At 43.3% G+C, this 27,658-nt stretch overlaps 1 protein-coding gene across 15 annotated transcripts in view, besides 1 other annotated feature; it reads right to left on the bottom strand.

Annotated features, from left to right (window-relative positions):
- The window catches only part of WWP2 (WW domain containing E3 ubiquitin protein ligase 2), a 179,408-nt gene that overhangs the window by 37,394 nt on the left and 114,356 nt on the right, over positions 1-27,658 (bottom strand). For all 15 annotated transcript variants that reach the window (XM_017022879.2, XM_017022881.2, XM_011522823.3 and 12 more), the window contains one exon: positions 16,097-16,307. In XM_017022879.2, coding sequence (XP_016878368.1) covers positions 16,097-16,307 — 211 coding nt within the window. The remainder of the gene's footprint in view (positions 1-16,096; positions 16,308-27,658) is intronic.
- Positions 13,175-13,698: an enhancer, noted in NCBI's record as "NANOG-H3K27ac hESC enhancer chr16:69924551-69925074 (GRCh37/hg19 assembly coordinates)". NCBI's record gives its function as "activates a minimal SCP1, AML or CMV promoter by ChIP-STARR-seq in primed H9 embryonic stem cells {active_cell/tissue: H9 hESC(primed)}" and the evidence as "EXISTENCE:reporter gene assay evidence [ECO:0000049][PMID:30033119]".

Genomic DNA, 27,658 nt, shown 5'->3' with positions numbered 1-27,658 from the left:
CTCCCTCTGAATGCCCTTCTGATTTAAAAGCAAAGGGGTAACAATATTGCCAGCTCAAGAGGCTGGTGTTTCGTCTGTGGGGATTTGGCAGGGCCTTCTAGCACAGAAGACAGCCGACATACTGTAGCTTCACAGCAATTCTCCAAATACCTTCTGTCTGCTCGGTAACAGAGGAGCAAATCTGATACCCTCTTTATTCATCTGAATTTGGAAATGAAGAAAGTCCTGAGAAAGATATTTGGCTTAAGGATAAGTATTAAAAAATGAAAGCGCTGAGCGCCAATGGCAGCAAGCCTCTCTTTTATAACATCTGCTCCTAATGCAATTTAAGTAGCTGAGAACTCTCCAGCACTCCCGAAGAATTTAGCTGCATCCTTCCCTTCCTTGAAAACAGTTCTTTGGGTAGTTTTGTGGCACAAAAGCCCTAATACTAGTACGCTCATTTTTCAGTCACTATTTGGAAAACTCTAATATTTGGGTGGGCTGCCCCTTTTATAAAGACAAAATATCTGTTGTAGCAATTGGAGCTTAAAAACAAAACTTAAACACATTTTTCTTTCTTTCTTTTTTTTTTTTTTTGAGACAGATTCTTGCTCTGTCGCCAGGCTGGAGGGCAGTGGCGCAATCTCGGCTCACTGCAACCTCCACCTCCTGGGTTCAACCGATTCCCCTGCCTCAGCCTCCTGAGTAGCTGGGACTACAGGTATGCGCCACCACACCTGGCTAATTTTTTTGTATTTTAGTAGAGATGGGGTTTCACCATGTTGGCCAGGATGGTCTCGATCTTCTGACCTTGTGATCCACCCTCCTCGGCCTCCCAAAGTGCTGGGATTGCAGGTGTGAGCCACTGCGCCCGGCCATTTTTCTTTTATTCCAAAAATTCTTTCAACTTTCATCTTATCAGCAGTCTCCACTTTTGACATCTTTTATGTTCATTTGAGACAAGGAGAGAAACACTGATTTTATTACACTTTGGCTAACGTTTTAATATGAAGGTAGGCTAATGCTTCAAATTCCATGAAATAAATGTCTGTAATTGACACAGTGGTATTCCCACACACTGCCAGAAATGAAATCAGTGCTGAGTCCTCTTCCCTTATATTCAACAGTTTCAGCAGGTCTTCAGAGGACACAGGCCCAGATAAGGCCCACCCTTCCATCTTTGATCACGGCTGATGCTGGAAATGAAAGTCTCTCTTTCAGGGACTATTATTGTCCCGCAAAGCTCAATGTCCTTCTATGAACCCCCTCAACTGGCTTAGCGAGAAGAATAGTTGCCAGAGGAACAAGACCTTTCTTCCATCACCTTTTTTGATATCATTTTTTCCTTTTGCAGTTGGACCCCTGCTCAGATTAAATGTCCCTGCGGGTCCTCCCTGATCCATGACCTGGCCTGCCTCCCTTTCTCACAGAACCTCACTCCTCCCTCACCTGCATGGCTATTCATAATTCACACAAATCTCTCCCCTTCATTCAGGCAGCACAGTCGGTGGATTCTATCACCAACCAGACGAGCCTCCTGATTCCTGTTCCTCCTCAGTGGCCGCTGACTCACATAGATGGAGCCTCCGACTGTCTTGGTTTGGTCCCCCCCATGCCAAGAAAGTGACACTGGTATCAATTTTTCATCAGCGCATCCCTGTCAGAGGTTATATTTCTGTCACTTATAAGCAACTCCTTCACACTGAGATTAAAAGGCTTTTCAATCAAACTACCCACGGGTCTCAACACTGCATCTTGGTCACATGGGTCATCTCCTGTCCCCCTCGATAGCTTCCGTTGATGCTCTCAGGAACAGTGTTCAAAGCACCAAGCTTGTTTTCAGTCCCTACCCAACACATTGCTCCTTGGCCTTCAATGAGTAACATTTGGTTGGATCATGGACTACACGAGGTCTTTGTACTTCAAAGTACTTTAAAAGCAGTCTCCGTCTGACTGCAATTAATCTTAGGTACTTTTTCCTTTCCCTAAATTACCTTTGCACTGATGGATTGTAGCTGCCCTTGGTTCAGTTGTATATGAACCATGTTCCAACCCTACGTCCCAATCCACTCACAATTGCCATCTTCACAGGTTAAAGGCTAAACATCTCCATCTCATTATTAGAATGACATCAGCATCTCTCTCATGTTATCAGACAGGAAATCATCTGGTCTCCTGAACCATGTTTTCTTGTCAAAGGTTTCCCAAAGGTCTTCAGGAAATTAATGCTCAATTACCCGTTGTTACAGTGTGTGTTCAACCATTCTGATCACCATATTTCTTGGTCAGATTCACCTGTTTGAACCAAATCAACATTTCACCAAGAATAGGATTAAGCTAAAAGGGATTAAAGCTGGGCAAAGAGTTCGAGTGAATTTTAGATAAATTCTCTATTTATATATTTATTTATTTAGAGACGAAGTCTCGTTCTGTCACCCAGGCTGGAGTGCAGTGGTGCAATCTCAACTCACTGTAACCTCCATCTCCCGAGTTCAAGTGATGCTCCTGCCTCAGCCTCCCGAGTAGCTGGGATTACAGGGACTCGCCACCACGCCTGGCTAACAGCAATTCTTTTCAAGTGGCCCTTATAAATTGATACACCAAAATGGTCAAAATTTCAGTCTTGGTAAGAGCATTATCAGCTTGTATTATTCATTAATTTGCTTACTTTTCACTGACACAAGCACTGGGCATTATTAGTAAAGCTAACTCAATCAAAATCCACTCTCTCCATTAGAAAATAAGACCATGTGAAACCCCGTCTCTACTCAAAATACAAAAAAATTAGCTGGGCGTGGTGGTACATGCCTGTAGTCCCAGCTACTCGGGAGGCTGAAGCAGGAGAATGGCATGAACCCGGGAGGCAGAGCTTGCAATGAGCTGAGATCGCGCCACTGCACCCCAGACTGGGCGACAGAGCAAGACTCCATCTCAGAGAAAAGGAAATAAGACCACACCTGAACCCTTTCACATCCTAAAGAAAAGATGTCTTGCTGGTTACTTAGACAAAAATTAAACTTAAGAAGAATACACTGGAAGTACTCAAGTATTCTTAAAGCTGCCTCTTCAGAAGTTCAATGCCCCACAGGCAAAAGCTACATAAAATCACATTTTTGTATTCTATGCTCCTATAATAAATGTTTCTGAGCCAAGTCCTATTCTTCCTCCAAGCTTTGGCCACTTCCGGGGAGAACCATAAGATTTATTTCTTCTGTAGGGATGTTTTCAGGCTGTTTTATGAGTCAGCAATCTGTCTGCAGTGGAATATAATTCCTGTGCACTGTGTTTAGTGCTTCAGTAGGTCCTTTGTAAACTGGGTAGGAAATGTGTTAAACTCAGTCCTTCCCCGAAGGACCCTTCCTGAAATAAGGAACTAGCCTTTAAATCTAAGCACACTAACCTTTTAATAACTCAACAACCAGCACTTTATGCCTCCAAACACAGGATGGCATGGGAGCAGCTACCAAAGCTCCTGAATTAAGTCTTTCTTCTTATCTTTTTTATCTTTACCAAAGCTCCTCAATAGAGGTTGGCAACACTAGCCAGGCACGGTGACTCACGCCTGTAATTCCAGCACTTTGGGAGGCCAAGGCGGGCAGATCACCTGAGGTCAAGAGTTCGAGACCACCCTGGCCAACATGGTGAAACCCCGTCTCTACTAAAAATACAAAAAATTAGGCAGACATGGTGGCACGCACCTGTAGTCCCAGCTACTCAGGAGGCTGAGGCAGGAGAATCGCTTGAGTCCAGGAGGCGGAGGATGCAGTGATCTGAGATCGCACCACTGCACTCCAGCCTGGGTGACAGAGCAAGACTCTGTCTCAAAGAAAAAAAAAAAAGTTGGCAACATTAAAATATATGCATCTATAAAAAATTCTTTTAATTATCTTTTTTAAAAATAGAGACAGAGTCTCGCCATATTACCCAGGGTGGTTTTGAACTCCTGGGCTCAAGCAATCTTCCTGCTTCGGCCTCCCAAAAGTGCTGGGATTACAGGCGTGAGCCACTGCACCCAGCCTCTAAAAAATTCTTTTTAACATTTTTGCAGATAAAAGGTTGGCAGTATAGGGACAGTTACTATCAAGAACGATCAATGGGAGCAAAAATGGGTACACTCTTTCCAAAGGGCAATTTGGCCAAAAAACCTTTATTATGTGAATACCGTTTAATTATTTTTCTTGTGAATGGCCCTTAACTCAGCTACTTTACTTCTAGGACATATCCCAAAGAAATAATTAGGTGTCAAAAATTTAGCTATAAGTGCATCTGTTACGTCATATTACAGCAGTTACAGAAAAACTGGAAGCAACCTAAACACCCCCAAATGGAGAGTTAATCAAATAAATCATGTTATTCCTATAATGGGTATTCATTCCTTAAAAATAACATTGTAGATAAATATTGACTTGTTCAGGTATTTACAATATATTGGGTAGAAAAGGCAAGTTTAAAGTAATATGACTAAGACAATCAAAATTTTGTTTAGAAATTATATATTGTTTTTCATCAAATCTAAAATGCCATCGATTGTAAGATTATTAAACATAACACTAAGAAAAAAAACACTGCCAATTAAATTATGCCACCCCAGTGCCTATAAACCACAACTTGATTTTTTTTTTTTTTTTTTTTTTTTTGAGACGGAGTCTCACTCTGTCACCCAGGCTGGAGTGCAGTGGTACAATCTTGGCTCTGCAACCTCCGCCTCCCGGGTTCAAGCAATTCCCTGCCTCAGCCTCCCGAGTAGCTGAGATTACAGGCATGCACCAATACACCTGGCTAATTTTTGTATTTTTAGTAGAGACAGGGTTTCACCATCTTGGCTAGGCTGGTCTTGAACTCCTGACCTCAGGTGATCCACCTGCCTCGGCCTCGCGAAGTGCTGGGATTATAGGCATGAGCCATTGCACCCGGCCCACATCTTGATTTTTTAAACAAGTTAAAATGTGAAATAACATGCATATCAGAATAAATAAAATGTGGAATGTGTATAAAATTTGTGTTGTTGTTGTTGTTGCTGAGATGGGTATCTCACTATGCTGTCCAGGCTGGTCTTGAACTCCTGGGCTCAAGCAATCTGCCTGCCTAAGCCTCCCAAAGTGCTAAAGTTACAGGCAAGAACCACCAAGTGTGGCCTGTAACATTTTTATGTAACTTAGGAGTAGGGAAGAATTTTAGACAAAACACAAAAGACACATGAAAAAGATTACAGATTTGGCTATTTAAAATTATTAACTCTTGTACAATAAAAGGCACCATAAGCAAATTGAAAAGACAAGCCACAGACTGGGAGCAAATATTTGCAATGCGTATAATTGAGAAGCAATTTGTACCTAGCATTATTAAGAATCCTGCAGATTGGCTGGGTGTGGTGGCTCATGCCTGTAATCCCAGCACTTTGGGAGGCCGAGGCAGGTGGATCACCTGAGGTCAGGAGTTCAAGACCAGCCTGACCAACATGGTGAATTCCCGTCTCTACTAAATACAGAAAAAGTATCTGGGAGTGGTGGCACATGCCTGTAATCCCAGCTACTCCAGAGGCTGAGGCAAGAGAACTGCTTGAACCTGGGAGGCAGAGGTTGCAGTGAGCCAAGATTGCGCCATTGCACTCCAGCATGGGCAACAAGAGTGAAACTCCGTCTCAAAAACAAACAAAAACAACAACAAAAAAGAATCCTGCAGATTAAAAATAAATATATATAAAGACAAATAAAAAATGGACAAAAATAAATAGGCAATTTATAAAAGAAGAAACCAAAGAACCTAATAAAGACATGTAAAAAGAGGTTCAATCTCAATAGTAATCAGGGAACTTCAAACTGAATCCTCAAAGATGTACCATTCATGCCCATTAGACTGGCCCACATGAAACGAACCTGACAACACTAAGTTTTAGCAGGAATGCTTATGCATGCTCACAGGAGTATGAATTGGTTAGGTGACTCAGGCAATTTGATAATACCTACTGAAGTTGAAGATCTTCATTTCCTATAATGCAGAAATTCCAGTTGCTGTACAAATCTTTAAGAAATAACTGGCTGGGAGTGGTGGCTCACACCTGTAATCCCAGCACTTTGGGAGGCCGAGGTGGGCAGATCACCTGAGGTTGGGAATTTGAGACCACCCTGGCTAACATGGCGAAACCCTGTCTCTACTAAAAAAACAAAAACTAGCCAAGCATGGTGGTAGATGCCTGTAATCCCAGCTACTTGGGAGGCTGAGGCAGGAGAATCACTTGAACTCAGGAGGCGGAGGTTGCAGTGAGCCGAGATTGTGCCACTGCACACTCCAGCCTGGGCAACAGAGCAAGACTCTGTCTCAAAAAAAAAAAAAAAAGAAAGAAAGAAAAGAAAAAGAAAAAACCACATACACAAAAAGGCATGCACAGGAAAACTTTACTGCAGCCATTGTTTCATTGTGTTTTTTTTGTTTTGTTTTGTTTTGTTTTGTTGTTTTGAGATGGAGTCTCACTCTGTCGCCCAGGCTAGAGTGCAGTGGTACGATCTCGGCTCACTGTAACCTCCGCCTCCCTGGTTCAAACCATTCTTCTGCCTCAGCCTCCTGAGTAGCTGGGACTACAGGCATGCGCCACCACACCCGGCTAATTTTTGTATTTTTAGTAGAGATGGGGTTTCACCACATTGGCCAGGCTGGTCTCGAACTCCTGACCTTGTGATCCACCCAGCTCGGCCTCCCAAAGTGCTGGGATTACAGGCGTGAGCCACTGCGCCTGGCCTACTGCAGCCATTCTTTCTAGCTGTCAAGAAACAAGTAAATGGATAAATTTTTATCTGTTCATGTAACAGAACACCGTATAGCAGTTTAAATGCATGTCCCAAGTTCCATGTATCACTGTATACAGGGAATGAGATCAGAGAGTTCATGGAAGCTTCAGCTGTACTGGTAACATCTTATACATCAAGGGGTTAAAAAGAGGTGGTTAAAAAAAGACCTCCTCAGGTGCCGGGCACAGTGACTCACACCTGTAACCCCAGCACTTTGGGAAGTTTAGGGGAGCAGATTGCTTGAGCCCAGGAGTTCAAGACCAGCCTGAGCAACACGGCAAAACCCCATCTCTACAAAAAATATAAAAATTAGCCTGGCATGGTAGGATGTGCCTGTGGTCTCAGGTACTCGAGAGGCTGAAGCGAGAGGATCACCTGAGCCTGGGAGGTCAAGGCTGCAGTGAGCTGAGACCACGCCACTGCACTCCAGCCTGGGTGACACAGATTCTGTCTCAAAAACAAAACACACAAACAAAAAAAAAAAGACGGGGAGAGACCTGTAGCAAATGCAGCACAGAGCCAAAGATGATGAGCCACAGGTATTTTTTACATTCTTCTCCATTTGTATCTGCATGCTTACAATATTTTACAATAAAAACGAATGGATTTTAAAAGCATATACTGGAAGATTATCAACTTTTGGTAGATGTGTGTTATACGTGTATCTGTATATGTGGTGCCAGGCAAATTGCTTAAGTTCTCCTCACTTGCAAGATGAGGATAAAAGTAGCTCTCTCACAGAGGGAAGACTGCATGAAATCATCCAGGTAGGAAACTGGGCAGTCCCCAGCACCTTAGAAACACTTAGAATACATGGTAGCTGTAGTTAGTGTTTAAAAAAAAAAAAAAAATACACACAAGCTGCAGAAGAAATACCAATGGTCAGCTCTGGGGGGGTGTTTGTTAACTGTTGTTATTATGTACTGTTCTTCTCCCACCTCCTATTTTTTTCTAATTTTCCATCAATGGGCTTTTATAATAAGATCAGAAAAAAACTTTAAAAAATTTTAAGGGCCACTGAGAATGTGATATCATTTTCCCACTCATGTAACACATCACTCCCTCTCTTTGGAAGCCAAGTTGTATGCTGGGTACAGGGAACACAAAGACGGACACAATATTCTTTACTCTTGAGGAGCTCTCAAGAAATTGCAGTAAGGATGGGCACGGTGGTTCACACCTGTAACCCCAGCACTTTGGTAGGCCAAGATAGGAGGATCGCTTGAGCCTCCAAGAGTTCAAGACCAGCCTGGGTAACATAGCAAGACCTTGTCTCTACAAAAAGTACAAAAATTAGCTGAGCATGGTGGCGCATGGTAGTCCCAGCTACTTGGGAGGCTGAGGCAGGAGAACTGCTTGAGCTAAGGAAGTTGAGGCTGCAGTGAGCTATGATCACGCCACTATACTCCAGCCTGGGTGACAAAATGAGACCCTGTCTCCAAAAAAAGGAAAGAAAGTGCAGTAGAAATGAAAATGAATAATTATGCATGAATACATACACATAAGGTGAAAACATCTCATGGCCCAGCCTCCGACAACAGTAGAATCTTTGGAAATAAGAGTTTAAGTTCTGAGATGGTGATGAGGAAGCCAGAAACACACACTATTCCATGTGACCTAAGCATGTAACAATCCCTGCAGAGTCACAAACTAACCATACTAAGCAAAGAAACAAACTGGAGGAAAGACACAGACGCTCAGTGTAATCCTTTAATCTGATGCTACTCAAAGAATGGTCCACAGCCCAAACTGTTACTGTTCTGTGACCAGAAAAGTACTGAAGTTTCTAAGCACTTAGAAACTTTTTTTTCTTTTAACTGAGACAGGGTCTCACTCAGTCATCCAGGCTGAAGGGCAGTGACTTGAACACAGCTCACTACAGGCTCGACTTCCGGGACTTATGCGATCCTCCTGCCTCAGCCTCCAGAATAGCTAGGATCACAGGTGCACACAGCTGATGTTTTTGTTTGTATTTTTTGTAGAGACGAAGTCTTGCTATGTTGCCCAGGCTGGTCTCGAACTCCTGGACTCAACCAATCCTCCTGACTCGGCCTCCCAAAGTGCTAGATTACAGGCATGAGCCTGGCCCACTTTAGGAACTTTTGTACCGATCTGACATTGCTGTAATATCCACATGTGTGCTCAATAGATTCGTCTCATTGAACAGAGTATAGAATTAAAGGATTCACAATAGACAGACTATTTTAAAATAAATTAAAACAAAACAACAACCAAAAAGGACTGTTTTCTCACAAATAGTTTTGAGCAGCTCAGTGTTAAAACTCCTTGGGTAAGACTCTTTGGCTAGTGCTGAAGTTGAGTTTGGAATGAAATTCAATGGCAGCGCCTGGTTTATAACTTAGCAGAGAAGCTCCAAATTCCAACATCTCTTAGAGTGTCCCCACAAACAAACATCCAAGAACTCTTACAAGGCTGTCGTCCTTGATAGTGTCTTAAGGGCCATCTCAAGAGAGTGCCTCTGGATATCCATAATTGGGCAGGGGGGTAGAGGAGATGGCAAATCCGAAAGATCCAGAAAACATCCCTCCTCAATTAATTCCACTCGGAGGCAGGAAACAGACGGGGCAGCCAATGGCTGCGGGAGAAAAAGCATGGTGTGAAATGGCAGAGCTGAAGTAAGTCGGCAGTCCAAACACAACGCCCTCCGTTATGTAAGAAACCACAGTGGCGTGCTGGCTGCCAGGGCAAAATAATGTGCCTCTGTGTGTGTGGGACCGAGGGAGCTGCAAAGACTGTAAGGGACACACTTGGAGTTTATCTAAGCCATGTACACACAGTTGGCTCATTGATAATGAGCACTGGGTCCCCAAAGTGGGCTGAGCGCTGAGAAAAAACAGATACAGGGCCTGCAGACCAAAGCAGCCTCGCTTCCCATTGCCCACGGCCTGAACCACTATCTCACTAGCCCCTTCAAACCTTCCTGGCACCCCTTCTTTCACAGACATTTGCAACCTGAAAACTTCATACCCTTCCAGTTGGCTTCTTTCACGCTAGTTAATTTAAAAGCTATGGAAAGCAGGAGGGTTTACAGATGGGGACAGAGAAAAGGGATGGGGAGTGCTGTATTTGGACATCTTCAGCCCAGGTTTCAGCAGCCTTCAGTTCTTAAAACGTGCAGACGTGTGTAACCACATATGGCCAAAGTCTCATCTGCTGCATATTTCAAAAAGACAATGCAGCCAGGTGCGGTGGCTCATGCCTGGAATCCCAGCACTTTGGGAGGCCAAGGCGGGAAGATCGCTTGAGCCCAGGAGTTTGAGATCCGCATGGGCAACAGAGTGAGACCCTCATCTCTACCAAAAAAAAAAAAAAAAATAGCCTGGGTATAGTGGCATGCGCCTGTAGTCCCAGCTACTCGGGAGGCCGAGGCAGGAGTATTACTTGAGCCTTGGAATTTGAGGCTGCCATGAGCCATGATCTTGCCACTGCACTCCAGCCTGGGTGACAGAGCGAGACTCCATCTCAGTTAAAAAAAAAAAAAATGCAGCAACCTGAAAAATACAGCCATGAGATCCCCAAGAGAACCTTGCTCCTGTCACTCAGTGAGGGAGACTGGATGAGTTGAGAAGATAAAGTTAGAAAGACAGAGTCCCCTGGAGGGCCCAGAAAGCAATCAAGCTTAGCTCAAATGCCTCAGTGAAGAGGAGCCGTGCTGCACAGTATCTGCCAGTGCAGGAAGAGCGATCCTTTATGAACAGAGAAGAGCATTCTGAGGGCTGGGTGCAGTGGCTCACTCCTGTAATCCCAGCATTTTGGGAGGCCGAGGCAGGTGGATCACTTGAGGTCAGGCGTTCGAGCACAGCCTGGCCAACATGGTGAAACCCTGGCTCTACTAAAAAATACAAAAAATTAGCTGGGCGTGGTGGCGCAAGCCTGTACTCCCAGCTACTTGGGAGGCTGAGGCAGGAGAATTGTTTGAACCTGGGAGACGGAGCCTGGACCAGCAGAGTGACATTCCATCTCAAAAAAACAAAAACAAAAACAAAAACAAACAAACAAAAAAAACAGCATTCTGAACTATGAGAGATGCATATTTGAACCCAAAGCCAGTCAAGCCAGTGAATGACAGCATTAGGCTCAACTTTCTTGCCCTTGGGAAGAAAATGCAATATTGCTGTCATAGCTGTTCTTTCTTTGAGGCATCAAAGAGGCAAAAAACATTCATCTAGGTGAAGGAAAGAAAAAAAAAGATGGCATTTAAAAGCACTCATCCATTCATTGCAAACATGTCTTGGGAGCCTACTCTGTGCCAGGCTCCCGGCCACCTTGGTGTGCAGAGCCAAGAATAGCAGAGAGGCAGAAAACAAGCAATGACAGGTGTGAGAAGAGTGACAGAGGAAGGACACACTTCTTCTTGTCCACCAGGGATCCGGGAGGGAGTCCCAGAGGATTTACTGATTAAGTTGACACTTGAAGATGTATAGGAATTAATGGACAAGATGGCAAGGAAGGTTTCAGAAAGAGTGACCAGCATGGGGGAGGATCCTAAGTCCGGAGAGAGGGTGATGCATTTGTCAAATTAAAGTTAAGTTATCGTGGCTTAGGCAGAGATGTGGAGTGGATCCCACCGAAGGCTTGAAGGGTAGGTGGGGTCATATTACACAGGCCTTTTTAGGCCTTATTAAGGATTTGGGAATTTATCCCCAAAGACAATATGAAGCCACTGGAGCATTCTAAATGGTGAAAGGTCATGCTCAGAGTTTTATTTTTAAAAGTTAAAACAGGGCCGGGCGCAGTGGCTCATGCCTGTAATCCCAGCACTTTGGAAGGCCAAGGCAGGAGGATTGCTTGAGCCTAGGAGTTTGAGACCAGCCTTGGAAACATAGGGAGACCTTGTCTCTGTGAAAATAAACAAAATTAGCTGGGTGTGGTGGCAGGCACCTGTAGTCCCAGCTACTCAGGAGGCTGAGGTGGGAGGATCACTTGAGCCCGTGAGGCTGAGGCTGCAGTGAGCCAAGATTGCACAACTGCACTCCAGCTTGGGTGACAGAGTAAGACAATGTCTCAAAAAAAGAAAAGTTAAAATAGATTGGGAAAGGGTAAGAACAGTCACTCGAGTGACAGATCATGGTAATTTGGTCTGGAATATTGCAAAAGCATGTAGCCAAGTGGGCAGATTTGAGAGTTGTTTAAGAGAATCATTGTTTCAATGAGAACATATGGACACAGGGAGGGGAACACCACACACCGGGGCCTGTCAGGGGTGGGTGGGGGGCTAGGGGAGGGATAGCATTAGGAGAAATACCTAATGTAGATGACAGGTTGATGGGTACAGCAAACCACCATGGCACGTGTATACCTATGTAACGAAACTGCACATTCTGCAAATATATACCCCAGAACTTAAAGTATAATTAAAAGAAAAATCATAAAATAAAATTTTAAATTAAAAAAAAGAGAGAATCATTGTTTCATTTAACTATTTCCTGGAGTCCCACTATGTGCCAGGCTAGGTGCATATGTGCTAGGTGCTGGGCATTCAGAGGCAAATAAGAAAGACACAATCCCTGCCCGTATGGCACCTAGAGTATGGTGGAGGAGATGGTCACTTAATAAATCGTATGCAAATTACACCTGTGATAAATGCAAAGCAGGATCAGTATGGGAAGCTGAGACAGCACAGTCTGGAGGCCCAGAGGCAGGGCTTGATGACTGAACGGATGTCAGGGTCAGGGGAAAGATGTATGACTTGAAGGTCACCTGGGCAAATGGTGGCACCATTCCCAGGAGGGGGACCAGGTTCTAGCCCGGATGGGATGGGTAAGATGATAAGTTCTGTTGGGTTGAGATAGCTACATGGAACTGTCCAGGTAGTGAGTCAGGAGAGAACTGGGCTCAAGAGGCAGATATGGACTTAGCATCAGATCCCAGAGGCAGCCAAGGGAATGGCTGAGTCGAGCCAGGGGGAGAACTGAGTGACCAGGGCACGCATCATGAAACAGTCTGGTAGCAAGAACCATTTCTTGTTTAGCACTGCATCTGCCATACCCAGTACCTGACCTGCTGTCTCTTAAATAGTAACAGATATTCTGTCTAATGAAAGAATCAACAGTGTAAAACCTCGAATATAGAACTTGGGCACTAGTAGATACTCAATTCAGCTGCTGCATTTATATATCCTCATAAAAGATAAAGGCATTCTGCAAACTCAAGAAGATGCAGTTCCTAAGAGATAGCACTCCAATCCCTTTGCCACAACACACCCTTTGTTGGTATTGGAATTAGAAATGACAGATTTCCTTCTCTCATTGGTCCCCTGACTCTGGAACACCAGGGGTAAATTAATAACCCGCCTTGCCTGGATCTCCTAAACTTTTAAGTAAACTGGGGTGGGGCTGGCAGGCCTATGAACTGGAAGGATCGCTGGCAGAAATAGTACTCTCTCTGGCTTCCATCAGCCAACCAAAAGCCTGCCATGCTCCCTCTTAGACACTCAGCAGTGCTAGTCAGTCTCCAGGTAGGTGGCTGACGATCTCCAGGCCCCGAGTCAGCCCACAGAGCCCTCCTAGCCATCTTAGAGAAGAGCACGTGGAAGCCATCTGGGTTGGAAAATTGGGTCTCCGACACCCTTCTCTGGACCATCGTACATGTTCAAGTGGGGAGCAGCCTCCCCAGGCCCACATGTGGCCCTCATCACGTTCTAAATGCCCCAAGGAAAAGATGCTGTTTAGGCTCTACCTCAGAAACGTGTTTCAGCCTCTGGCAGGATGAGGGAGGGGAATCGGCTTCCCTGGGCTGCTCGATCTGCCAGACTTAGAATAAAGAGCGTTTTCAGAGCCTGGAGTTTTCCAGCTGCCTGGAAACAGGAAGTGCCCAATCCCCGAGAACAGTAACCCTCACACACGCCCTACATAAAGACATGTTGAGCCATTAGCCCTAATTGCCTGTGACTGACACAGGAGTGAGGCCGGCCTTCCAGGCATTCGCTCAGCGGAAAGAAAACAAACAGCTCACTGGGGACACAGGCGGCCATTTTCTCTCCTTTCTGCCAACATGATTCTGCATTGTTCCCCCCAAATTATAACATACAGGCTTGAAATTACAAACCAAACAAAGGTCTTTCGAGTATTCCTTACCACATACAAAAGAGAAATATCTCTATAGGGAGTAGCTGGACACAAAGCAATTGATTAGTGAGCTTTTCACTTTAACCTTCACTAAAATCAAAAACCTCACAAAAAAACATCCCAGAGCTGCCTCTCAATCCTGCCAATTCTCTCCAGGTTTGAGGTACAAAGGTATGTGGAACAGGACTTTCTGAACAGACGGGAGTTAGGTAGCGTGGCGCATGCTAGGAAAACAATACGTACGTAGTAAAGGTCACATGTGCCTTCCGATAAAAGATTTTTGTTTTGACAACTGGGTTTTTGAAAGTGGCTTAAGCCAGCCTGGGCAACATGGCAAAACCCTGTCTCTACAAAAAAAAAAAAAAAAAATTATCCAGGCATGGTGGTGCACGCCTGTAGTCCCAGCTACTTGGGAAGCTGAGGTGGAAGAATCGCTTGAGCCCAGGAAGTCAAGGCTGCAGTGAGCCAAGACTGTACTACTGCACTCCAGCCTGGGCAACAGAGTGAGACCCTGTCTCAAACAACAACAACAACAATGAAAGTGGCTTAATAATAGAATAAAGAGATGGGATAAGGGAGTGAAAAAAAGAATAATACAGCACCTTGTAGTCAAGTAAGAGGCCTTACACCCTTCTTTTTTCCTTTATGAATCACAACGGTTCACAGGATACACACCACCAAGTCATCGTCAACCAGATCACCAGCAACTAGAGTGACACAGATGTGGGTTTCCTCCACACCAAACTGATAACCAGGAGAGGCAGTGAAAACTGGCCCCAACCATGATCAGAGCTGCGAAGAAGGGACTTCACCTCCCGGTTCAGAAGCATGCCCTTCCTTTAGGGCCCCTTCACAACCACTCGGAAAATATCACTTACCAGGTGTAACACCCACCAATCAGTGAGGGCTTCATGTTCACCATCTTATTTGAGTCCCTTAACTTCCTGGGGAGATATGTATGATGATTATCTCCACCTTATCAAGAGGCTAAGTCATTCGGCCAAGGTCACATGGTGGGGGGATTCAAACCCAGAGCTGTCTGATTCACAGGTCCATGCTTATAATCTCCACTCACCATATAACCAAACTTGAACTTCCCTTTGGCTTACAGGGGCTGTCTTCTTATCATCCAAGGTCTTTGCTGTCAGATTTAATTTTTATTTTTGAGACAGGGGTCTCGCTTCATAGTCCAGGCTGGGGTACAGTGGTGTGATCATAGCTCACTGCTGCCTCTAACTCCTGGCTCAAGCAATCCTCCCACCTTGGCCTCCCCAGTAGCTACGACTACAGGCACAGGTCACTGTGCCCACATTTGTGTGTGTGTGTGTGTGTGTGTGTGTGTGTAGGCAGGATATCACTATATTGCCCAGGCTGGTCTCAAACTCCTGGCCTCAAGTGATCCTCCCACCCCAGCCTCCCAAAGCAATGGAATTGATTGGCACGTGAGCCACCACGCCATCTGACTGAACTAAAGGATGGCAAGAGGGCCGGGTGTGGTGGCTCCTGCCTGTAATCCCAGCACTTTGGGAGGCCGAGGCAGGTGGATGATGTGAGGTCAGGAGTTCGAGACCAGCCTGGCCAACAGGGCGAAACCATATCTCTACTAAAAATACAAAAAAATTAGCCAGTGTGGTGGTGTGCACCTGTAGCCCCAGCTACTTGGGAGGCTGAGGCAGGAGAATCACTTGAACCCAGGAGGCAGAGGTTGCAGTGAGCTGAGATCGTGCCATTGCACTCCAGCCTGGGTGACAGATTAAGACTCCATCTCTAAAAAAAAAAAAGGATGGCAAGAAAACTTGTAGTTTATGTTAACTTAAGTCCCGATTATGAGAATAACATACAGCAATATTCACAGCCTAAAACCCAACTCCTCCGTGGGCTGATACGATAAAATTCAAGAGAGAAAAGCTGTTTTCTAGGCAGGATCTAGGCGAACATCCTCCAATGATTCAGGAAAGCAAAATGAGCTCCTTGTTCCGTAAAAGCCACACTCTTTGAGTCAAGCTGTTCATTTCAAGTCACAGTACAAGGTAGCATTGATTCTGCCCCAGGCGACTGAGATTCTTTTTAAGATTTATGTAGAACAAGCAGTTCTTCCACACCTCCCTTGCTTCAATGCACAGCAGCCTCCCCAGAGGCTACTAGCCACTAGGTAATAAATAACCACGTTGTTTCCACCCCCGTAAAGGAGCCTCAGTCTTTGAGGAGGAGAGATCTGTTATGGGACAGAAGACTACTCACCCAGCAGGCAGAGCGTCGGGGGCCTGGGCAGCCGCTGGGAGCTGCTGTGTACCCGAAGTGCTGGGTTCCTCTCCTTCAGCCGGTGTGGCTGGGGCAGGGAGAGAAGTCGTGTTGGGATTCGGGGTCACACTCAAGGGTGCAGCAGGTGGGGACGTCACACCAACAACGGAAGGTTCTTCGGGATCAGTGGCTGTTGTGGGTTCATCATTCACTGAAGATGCACAAATCATACTTTAAAGATCAACTAAGAATGAGAATTTTATTTATACTTGCTAGGTTTTTCACTTAATAGGCTAACATGGTATCTACAATGTTACACTACATGTATTGGGCGACAGCAAAAAGTTTTACAAAACATGACTTTGAAAAGTACAGCAAGTCATTAATGCCTGTCCAAAGGAAATCAGGATGAATCCGAAATAAATATATTAACACTACCTTTTTTACATAACTTTATCAAGTTTTTCTAACATACTGTGGTTACATTTACATTTATTGCAACAAAAGAGTAGCAGGAAAGATCAACATAACAGGAATGTGTTGGGGCCAGGCGCAGTGGCTCACAACTGTAATCCCAGCACTTTGGGAGGCTGAGGCAGGCGGATCACTTGAGGTCAGGAGTTCGAGATCCACCTGGCCAACATGGCAAAACCCCGTCTCTGCTAAAAATACAAAATTTAGCTGGGCATGGTGGCGCACACCTATAATCCCAGCTAGTTGGGAGGCTGAGGCAGGAGAATCGCTTGAACCCGGGAGGCAGAGTTTGCAGTCAGCCAAGACTATGCCACTGCACTCCAGCCTTGCAAAAAATTTGCCTGACAGCAAAATTGTGTCTCAAAAAAAAAAAGTGTTGGGGCTAAATGCAGCAAGGCCAAGTTTATAGGGTCACATCCTTTTCTTTAAATTTGTCATTTGTTTGCTAGACATGACTAGCACCTTCTTTCAAAAAGCTCATACACACTAAAGAGGCAGAAAACTTCCAGTAATGTGCTCATTCTTGTAAAGGCTCATGCTCAAAGTAGGAAGCAAGAAGGGCTCATAGCTAAGGGTCTTCTCTCTGAGATAATAGACAATGAGACAGAAGTGAAACACACTAGTCCCCAAGTCTCCCTATTTCACCATCTCTTCACCTCTTTGATGATCACTTACGTTCACAAGGACCCCAAGGTGCATTGCAATATCCTCTAACTCAAAAAAGGATCAAATAAGGTTTCAAAGAACTGTGGTTTTTTGGAAGTGATAAGCTATATGCAGAGAATTTTCCATATATATGATTGCATATGTGTACATGTATACTAGAAATTCATAGGAAAACACCTTAGTCATCATTTAGCCTCATCTTCCTAATGCAGAAATTCTTTTTGTTGTATCCCTAACAAGTGGCTATCCAGATTCTTCGTGAACGTTTCTTACAGGGAGCTCACTATAGAATCATCCCATCATTGAACAGATGTACTTGCCAGAAAGTTGGTGAGGGGTTGTTTTGTTTTGAGACACAGTCTCGCTCCGTCACCCAAGCTGGAGTGGAATGGCGCCATCTTGGCTCAATGCAACCTCTGCCTCCCAGGTTTAAGCAATTCTCATGCCTCAGTCTCCCAAGTAGCTAGGATTACAGGTGTGCGCCACCACACCCAGCTAATTTTTGTATTTTTAATAGAGACGGGGTTTCACCATGTTGGCCAGGTTGGTCTCGAACTCCTGGCCTCAAGTGATATGCCCACTGCAGCCTCCCAAAGTGCTGGGATTACAGGCATGAGCCAGGGCACCTGGCCCAGAAAGTTGTTTGGTTTTTTTTTTTCTTCATGTGAGGCTGATTCTATTACCTGGTCTGAGTCTCCCCATCTCTATCTCCAAAGCAATTCAAAGTATCTAGGCCGGATACCTAGATACTTTGCCTCTAATTCCAGCACTTTGGGAGCCTGAAGCAGGAGGATTGCTTGAGCCCAGGAATTCCAGACCTGGGCAACCTAGCGAGGACTCATCTCTACAAATAATTTAAAAGAGTAGTTGGGCATGGTGGTGCCCACCTGTGGTCCCAGCTACTCAGGAGACTGAGGGAGAATCACTGGAGCTGAGGAGGTGGAGGCTGAAGTGAGCCATGATTGCACCACTGCAACCCAGCCTAGGTGACAGGGTGAGACCCATCAATCAATCAACCAACCAATCAATGGCTACTGTTTCATGTTAGTATTCCCTCTTCTAGTAAAGAGGCCTACCATTTCTTCAGTGTTTCTAGGCAACCCCCCTTTCCCGATCATCTGGCTGCCCTCTTCGAGATATCATCTACTGCCTCTTCTAGCTAATCATATCAGGAACTAAACATAATAAATCAGATACCATGAGGCCAGCAGAGTCAGATTACCAACTTAAATACCAGGTAACATTTCCAGAACACCAGCATGTGCAGGAAAGGTGCAAAGCACTTTAGATTATCTCATTTAGGCCTCACACGCAACCCCACAAGTTAGTTACAATTGATATCCCCACTTAACACTTAAGGAAACTATAGCTCAAAGAGGCTACAACACCTCTCAAGGTCATATAGCACCTAATTCACACCCTGGTGTCTGCCTCCAGAGCCTAAACCACTTGTCACTATGCTCCACTTCTCCCTCTCTGCACATCCTCTAATTCAACCGAAGATTATAATAACTCTTAGCAACCATGTAAAAATTGGCACACATGGAACTGGTGGTCAGCTGAAAGTCAAATTTCTTCATATGATGTGATGGATACCAAGCTAGATCTTAACAAACAGGTAAGAGCCTGATGCTAGAAATTGGCTATGATTTATTTGCTTGTTTTCTCTGAAGTATATAAAATATTGCCTGGTACACAGGCTAAATTAGTTGTTTAATAAATGACTAAATCTTGTGCAATTAATGTTTCCCTAACAGAAATGCAAGGCTTGATATTTATATTCCTATTCTATCTCAGGCAAGCCAGTAAAACACAACAGATGGCAATTCACTTTATGCACAGCTATACATTTTACTCAATTTTAAAAAAAACACTATGACTTTTTTCAGAGCTAGATGAATTTATTCTAAAATTTATTAGGAAAACTAAATACACAAGAATAGCCATGAACATTCTAAAGAAGAAGAATGTGTGTGTGTGTGTGTGTGTGTGTGTGTGTGTGTGTGTAGGAGGAGTTTGTAAAAGAGTGGTGTGTGTGTGTAGGGGGAGTTTCTAAAGTATTAAAACATACTACAAAGCTACAGCAATTAAAACAATGTGGTACTGATGTATGAATAGGCAAGTGTCAATTAATAAGAAAGTTCAGAAATAGGCTTAAATAATTAAATAATTCACTGAAGCCTGCAAAATAGTAATATTCTAATTCTACCACACCTTCTTCATTTATTAGCTACAATACTTCTGTAAAGAGAAACCTCCCCATATCAACTATTTGGCTTCCTGGAGGTTCAGTTTGTAAAGAAAAGGCAGGAGAAATGCTTGCTTCTTTCCCTTTGTTTACCAGTCTTCAGAATGAGTTGATTTCCTTGCATCCTCTAAAAATGAACAATGAGGTTTCATTTTGTTTAAGAATCTTTATGAGGCACTGGATTCAAATATGTTTTAAAATATTTCAATCCATTGTTTTTTGTTTTTTGTTTTTAAGATAGGGTCTTGCTCTGTCACCCAGGCTGGAGTGCAGTGGCACAATTATGGCTCACTGCAGCCTTGACCTCCCAGGCTCAAGCAATCCCCTTGCCTCAGCCTCTCAAGCAGCTGGGACTACAGGCTCATGCTACCATGCCTGGCTAATTTTTAGTTTTATTTTTTGTAGAGATAGGGTCTCACTATTTTGCCCAGGCTGGTCTCAAACTCCTGAGCTCAAGCGATCCTCCCACCTCAGCCTCCCAAAGTGCTGGGATCACAGGCATGAGCCACTGCACCCAGCCTAATATTCTTTTTGATCCTAAAATTGTCCCCATCCTTGGCTGGAGTTAGTGGGGAAAGGGGAGGTGAACGAAGCTCTTCAAGTTAGCTTCAAATACTATGGGAACATTCTAAGATAACTACTAAACGAAAAAGTGCAGAACAATGTATAATTGTGCTATCATTTGTGAGTTTGTGTGCATACACATGTGTGTGTTTTTTCAAGGAATATATATACATACGCTTGTATATTCCAAGAATATCTTTGAAAGAACCGCAAGAAACACAACAGTGGGCCTTGGAGGAGGAAACTGAAGGTGAGCAGAATAGGAAAAAGACATTCTTTATACTGTCTAAGCTTTTATTTTTTTAAAGTTTTAGTAACATATAACTATTAAAAATAATTATTACGAAATAGCTGACCACGAAAAGAACAAAAGCAGAGCCCCCATGGCATGCCAGGGCAGAAGACCCTCCAATCAACACTACTCGGATCTGACTGTTTATGCAGCTGCAAATCTAGTTAGGAAGGTTCCCTCCAGGGCTGTACATGTCCACAGGCCTAACCAAGAGCCTCTGAGTCAACCTGGTTCACCCATAGTAGCTCTTCTGTTTAACAGTTTTTGCAGGGTGGGGTGCGGGGAGGGAGAGCATCAGAAAGAATGGCTAACCGATGCTGGGCTTAATACCTAGGTGATGGGTTGATCTGTGCAGTAAACCACCATGGCGCATGTTTAACCGATGTAACAAACCTGCACATCCTGTACACGTACCCCGGAACTTAAAGTTGAAAAAAAGAAAGTTTGTGCTATACCTTGAGTTCAGATTTGGAAACAGAAAAATATGAAGGCTAGATATCCTAGCATGGACAAGCCTTCTGTGCCCACGAATACTCACGAGTACCCTTCTTCTGCCCTCAAAAAGTAGGAGTAAATGAGTGTGTGTGTGTGTGTGTGTGTGTGTGCGCACATTCTTAGAACATGAAAGCTTGAAAGAACCTCAGGAGTCAATCCACCCCATCACAACTCATAGTCAGCAGAAATTAAGTTCTAACAATACATTACTGGCCCACGGTCACCCTGGTCAACCAGGGACAGGGCACCATACTCAAGTCTAATGAGGCTTCAAATAGAAAAACTGGATTGTCGAAGACAAGGAGTTACAAGTCCATCATGCCTTACAGAATTGCTGTATTAATTTTTTTTTTTTTTTGAGATGGAGTCTCACCCTGCCACCCAAACTGGAGTGCAGTGACATGATCTTGGCTCACTGCAACCTCCACCTCCTGGGTTCAAGCGATCCTCCTGCCTCAGCCTCCCAAGTAGCTGGGATTACAAGCGAGTGCCACCACGCCTGGCTAATTTTTGTATTTTTAGTAGAAATGGGGTTTTACTATGTTGGCCAGGCTGGTCTGGAACTCCTGACCTCAAGTGATCTGCCTGCCTCAGCCTCCCAAAGTTCTGGGAGTACAGGCATGAGCCACCGCACCCGGTCTGCTGTATTAACTTTTAACTGTATTCAATATAGCCAATGTTCTCTAACTTTTAATCCTAATTATTTGATGTACACCCATATCTCCCCAAAAGGACTGCACCCATCTTGAGAGCGAGGGCAGATTTGTTTCCCGCATTTTTCACTACTTCCACTCTCTGTCCCTTGTGTTCTTGCTGCATCTCTTTGCCCACATCGGCCTTCTTCCCTGGACGCCCTCCCGACCCCTGCGGCCCAGGGAAAGCACTCCACACTGTGAAGCCCACAGCACCCATGGTCTCAGCTACACAGTCGCACAGCCCCTGTGACATGCTGTTTTGACTTTGCTGATGTGTGGTTTCAACTTCTTTTCTGGAACAAGATCATAGGGCAGAGGCCTTATCTTATATGCTTTACATTGTCCGTAATGCTTAACATTTGATAAATATTTGTTCAAGAAATACTTATTCAATAAGCCCAATAATCTAGCAAAAGAAAGATATTTGATTGAATAGGTGAGTTTCAAAGGGAAAAGAAAAGAAATAAAAAAAATTAAAAACTAAAAAATAAAAGAAAGATATTTGAAATAAAACCACCTGACATTTGTATAACAATATCATTTACAAAACAGGTTCTTTAGGCTGGGCGCAGTGGTTCACACCTATAATCCCAGCACTTTGGGAGGCCGAGGCAAGTGAATCACCTGAGGTCAGGAGTTCAAGACCAGTGTGGTCAACATGGTGAAACCCCGTCTCTACTAAAAATACAAAACTTAGGCTGGGCGCGGTGGCTCATGCCTGTAATCCCAGTACTTTCGGAGGCCAAAGCAGGTGGATCATTTGAAGCCAGGAGTTCGAGACCAGCTTGGTCAACATGGCAAAACCCCATCTATACAAAAATTAGGCCGGGCGTAGTGGCTCACCCCTATAATCCCAGCACTTTGGGAGGCCAAGGCAGGTGGATCACTGGAGGTCAGGAGTTCAAGACCAGCCTGGCCAACATGGCAAAACTCTGTCTCTACTAAAAATAGAAAAAAATAGCTGGGTGTGGTGGCGTGTGCCTGTAGTCCCAGCTACTCGGGAGGCTAAGGCAGGAGAATCGCTTGAGCCCAGGAAGGGGAGGCTGCAGTGAGCTGAGAGCATGCCATTGCACTCCAGCCTGGGTGACAGAGTGAGGCTCTATCTAAAAAATAAAAAATTTAAAAAATTTAAAACCACAGGTTCTTTTTGTTTTATTTTGGAATAATTTTGGATATTACTTTCAGAAAATCTGAAAAGATAGTATGGTCTTCACCCAGTTTCCCTTAATAATACTATCTTATATAATCATGGCACATTTGCCAATGCTAAAATAATAATTAGTATACTACTATTAACTAAACTCCAGACTTTATTTGGATTTCACCAACTTTTGCACTAATGTTTTATTTCTGTTCCAAGATCCAACCCAGGATCCTGCATTGCCTTTAGCAAGTTTACTTTTATTAGCTCATTGATCCTCCCAATGCCCTTATGAGGAAGATATTATTATTCCCATTTCACTGCAGACAAAACTGAGGCTCACAGAGGGACCACTCAGAGAGGTGTTGTGCAGTCAGCAAGTAGCAGAACCAGTACTCAAACCAGAACACCACGAAGTAAAAACAGTGGGCGTGGGGAGCGAAGACAGCTTTGATGTTTCCCAAATGGGAGGAAAAGTAGGGTATCAAGGACCGGGAAAGTGGGGTACCAAGGAGGGAAAGTGGGGTACCAAATGGTAAGCAGTAAGATGGCAGTTGCATGGCCTCTGCTTTCTATAACCTTGGGTATTTCACAAGGTTCCCTCTGTGATGTTGGTGAAACATTCTAACTTTATGAATCACATATTCATTCAGGACTGGGACACACTCTAGTCACAGTTAGCCAAAAAAAAGATCAGGAATTGGAAATTCTTTTGCTTAATCCTAGAGACACTGCCAGTCCACTGTGTGTTCCAAGATGCTTAGGTGCGTGTGGTGTATCACAGACTCGTGGTGGACACTCAGGACTTCTCGGCCCTGCACTCAGGCACGTAGAAAGCCAGCACCAATAACAACAGAAGTTCTTTCTACTGAAGATCAGCTCGTAACATGTGGGCCACAGTAAAGCAGTTGGTGTCTTTCACCCGTGAAACACAAGCAACTGCACTGCCAAGGCAGCTGATCAGTCGGCTCTTCACGACAGCAACCAAAACTGGACAAAGATTTCGTAATTAGCACGGCATGGGATGAGTGAAGCTCATATAAAGAAAAACAGTTATATTACGTGAGGAAAAAAGGAGCAAAACTTAAAAATGGACGAAGCCATACTGTGTTACCTGATTGATGGGAAGGTAAAATCCTTCCCCGGTGTATATACAGATGAACACAGTTCCTACTTACATCCTACTGTGCTTCAAAGAATTCAAAGTCTGAAATTTGTTTTGAAAATGTATGAACGATCAAAGAATATCATGGAGGAAAAAAAGGCAAAACTAGCTCTTCCAGACATTAAAGAAAATACGATAACACATCAGTAATAAAAATCATATGGGACTTACTCAAAACAAGAAACAAATTCTCACTGTATGTAAGAATGTTAAAAGTGATCAACACTAAAAAAAAAATCACAGTAAAAAATGACACTGTTTACTTAATGTCTTTGTGACAATAGGATCCCAGCATAGAAAATAATTTAGACCCAGTCCTCATTTTATATACATGTCTATATAATATATATTATGTATAAATACATATTTATAGTTATATATTATAGTGACACATATAACACTATAAATTCTAATGGGATATTTATTTTGATAACGTAACATCATGAAGAAAGCAAGCGAAAACAGAAAAAAGTATTTATCTCTGCAGAACCAATGTGGCCATAAAGAAAAAAAAAAGTATCTCATTTTATAGATAAGAACTTTTACATTATTGACGCAAAAACCGAAATTATACACATTTTTTAAATGCACAGGCCTAATTATTTTTAAAATTCTTAAATCCTTTTCTGCAATACTCACAGAAGTAAGATAAAATGCAAAACAGTGATATGGGAAAACTTATAAATGTAACAGATAAAATTTGCAGCTACACACGTCATGCCCATTAGCATGGGCATGACATGTTAAATACAAAATCACCATAGTAATTCCACTCCTAGGTATACAACCAAAAGAACTGAAATCTTGGGCTCAGATACTTGTACAGCCAAGTTCTCACCCGCATTATTCCAACAGCCAAAAGGTGGAGACAACCCAAATGTCCATCTACAGATGAATGGAGAAACAAAATGTGGTATGTATATACAACGGAATATTATTCAGCCTTAAAAAGGAAGGAAATTCTGACACACGCTACAACATGGATGAATCAAAAATGCCACATTAAGTGAAATAAGCCAGACACAAAAGGACACGTTAATCCACTTATATGAGGTATCTAGAATAAGAAAATGCAGAAACAGGAGAATAGGGGTCACCATGGGCTGTGGGCGGGGGCCGGTCAGGTTGGGGGGAAATGTTATTGTTTAATGGATACAGAGAATCCGTTTGGGATGATGAAAAAGTTCTGGAAATGGACACTGGTGGTTATAGTTACCCAACATTGTGATTATAATTAATGCCACTGAATTACACACCTAAAAATGGTTTAAATGGTAAATTTCATGTTATGTGTTTTTCACTACAATTTTTAAAAATTGTACCTAGAATATACTAAGAACTTATATAAACCTCTAAAATAAACTTCTAAATCTCGGAAGGACAAATGATCAAATACTATGAAAAGAGACACAAGAAAAAAGAAATAGTTAAGCAACTAGTAAATGAGAAAACGCAACGAGGTTAAACTTTTTAACCAATGAGGTGGCACTTAATACTATTAGCAAAAAATTATAAACCGATATTTACAAGGCTGCAGAAAAAATAAACCTCATATACCACTTTATGAATATTTTATACTACTTTGGATATATGATTGATCCTCTTAGAAAGACGGTCTGCTAATACACACTAGAGCTCATTTTTAAAATTCACATCCTTTGTCTTAAGAATTTCACTCAAGAAACAAAGCTATATACAGGTATTTACAGCAGAATTTTGTAACAGGGAAATACACAAGAATTAAGGAATGGTTAGATGAATTATGGAACATTAACTGCAAAATAGTATGAGGTCACTTTTAAAAAGCAAAGAAGAGCACATAGATACATGAAACCATGTATAAAAACAGGCTGGGTGCAGTGGCTCACGTCTGCAATCCCAACACTTTGGAAGGCCGAGACAAGAGGATCGATCCAAGCCAGGAGTTGGAGACCGGCCTGGGCAACAAAATGAGACCCCCATTCTATAAGAAAATTTTAAAAAAGAAAAATGAAGTGAAAAATGTATATATTCATGCTGCATAATTAAAACTCCATGAAATTATTCATAAAGATAAAAGCTCTGTGCCAGGCACCCTGCCAAACACTCTGCATGTTTTATATACAGGCATACCTTGTTTTGTTGAGTTGCACTATGTGATTTTTTACAAACTGAAGGCTTGTGGCAACCTGACATCCAGCAGGTCTATTTCTCAATCATTTTTCCAACAGCATGAACTCACTTCATGTCTCTGTGTCACATTTTGGTAATTCTCAGAATATGTCAAACTTTTCCAACTTAAAATTTTTCGTTATTGTTATTTATATCCGTCATGGAGATCTGTGACCAGTGATCTTTGATATATTAATATTGCCATTGTTTTGCAGTGCCACAAACCCCATCCATATAAAATAGCAAATTTGGGCTGGGCACGGTGGCTCACACCTGTAATCCCAACACTTTGGGAGGCTGAGGCGGGTGGATCACCTGAGGTCAGGAGTTTGAGATCAGCCTGGCCAACATGGTAAAACCCCAGCTCTACTAAAAATACAAAAATTAGCTGGGCACGGTGGCACGCGCCTATAATCCCAGCTACTGGGGGGGCTGAGGCAGGAGAATCGCTTGAACCTGGGAGGCGGAGGTTGCAGTGAGCCAAGATCATGCCATTGCACTCCAGCGTGGGCAACAGCATGAGACTCCATCTCAATAAATAAATAAATAAATAAAAAGCAAATTTAATAATAAATATTGTGTGTGTTCTGACGGCTCCACCACCTGGCTGTTCTCTCTCTCTCTCTCTCCTTATACCCTACATTGGCCTCTAAGTGTTCAAGCAAAAGGAAGAGTCATATGTCTCTCACTTTAAATCAAATACTAGATATTATTAAGTTTAGTGATAAGGAAGGTGGGTTGAAAGCCAAGACAGGCCAAAGCTGGGACTCTTGTGACAGTTAGCCAAGTTGCGAATGCAAAGGAGAAGTTCTTGAAGGAAATTAAAAGTGCTACTCTGATGAACACTTGAGTGATAAGAAAGTAAAACAGCCTTACCAAGAAAAGTGATAGGGAGAAAGCGATAGGGAGTAGTCTGAAAAGAAGATCAAACCAGCCTCGACATTCTCTTAAGCCAAAGCCTAATCTGGAGCAAGACCCGAACCCTCTTCAATTCTATGAAGGCTGAGAGTGGTGAGGAAGTTGCAGAAGAAAAGTTGGAAGATAGCAAAGATTGGTTCATGAGGTTTAAGGAAAGATCCCTCAAACACAGCGTAAAAGTCCAAGTGAAGAAAATGCTGAGGAAGAAGCTGCAGCAAGCTATCCAGAAGATCTAGCTAAGATCATTGACGGGGTTGGCCACACGAAACAACAGCTTTTCAATGTTGACGAAAGAGCCTTCTATTGCAAGAAGATGCTATCTTGGACATTCATAGATAAAGAGAAGTTCATGCCTTCAAAGCTTCAAAGGACAGGTTGTCTCTCTTCTTAGCAGCTAATGTTGCTGGTGATTTTAAGTTGAAGCCAATGTTCACTTAACATTCTGAAAATCCTAGGGCCCTTATCAATTATGCTAAATCTACTCTGCTTGTGTTTTATAAATGGAGCAACAAAGCCTGGATCACAGCACATCTGTCTGCAGCATGGTTTACTGAATATTTTAAGCCCACTGTTGAGACCTACTGTTCAGGAAAAAAGATTCCTTTCAACATATTACTGCTCATGGATAATGCACCTGGTTACCCAAGAGCTCTGATGGAGATTTACAAGGAGATTAATGTTGTTTTCATGCCCGCTAACACAACATCCATGCTGTAGCCCATGGATCAAGGAGTCATCTTGCCTTTCAAGTCT

Source organism: Homo sapiens, chromosome 16 (assembly GCF_000001405.40).
Source record: "Homo sapiens chromosome 16, GRCh38.p14 Primary Assembly".
Taxonomy (NCBI): domain Eukaryota; kingdom Metazoa; phylum Chordata; class Mammalia; order Primates; family Hominidae; genus Homo; species Homo sapiens.
Note: the sequence above shows the minus strand (reverse complement) of the source record. Positions and strands in the feature narration are given on the sequence as shown.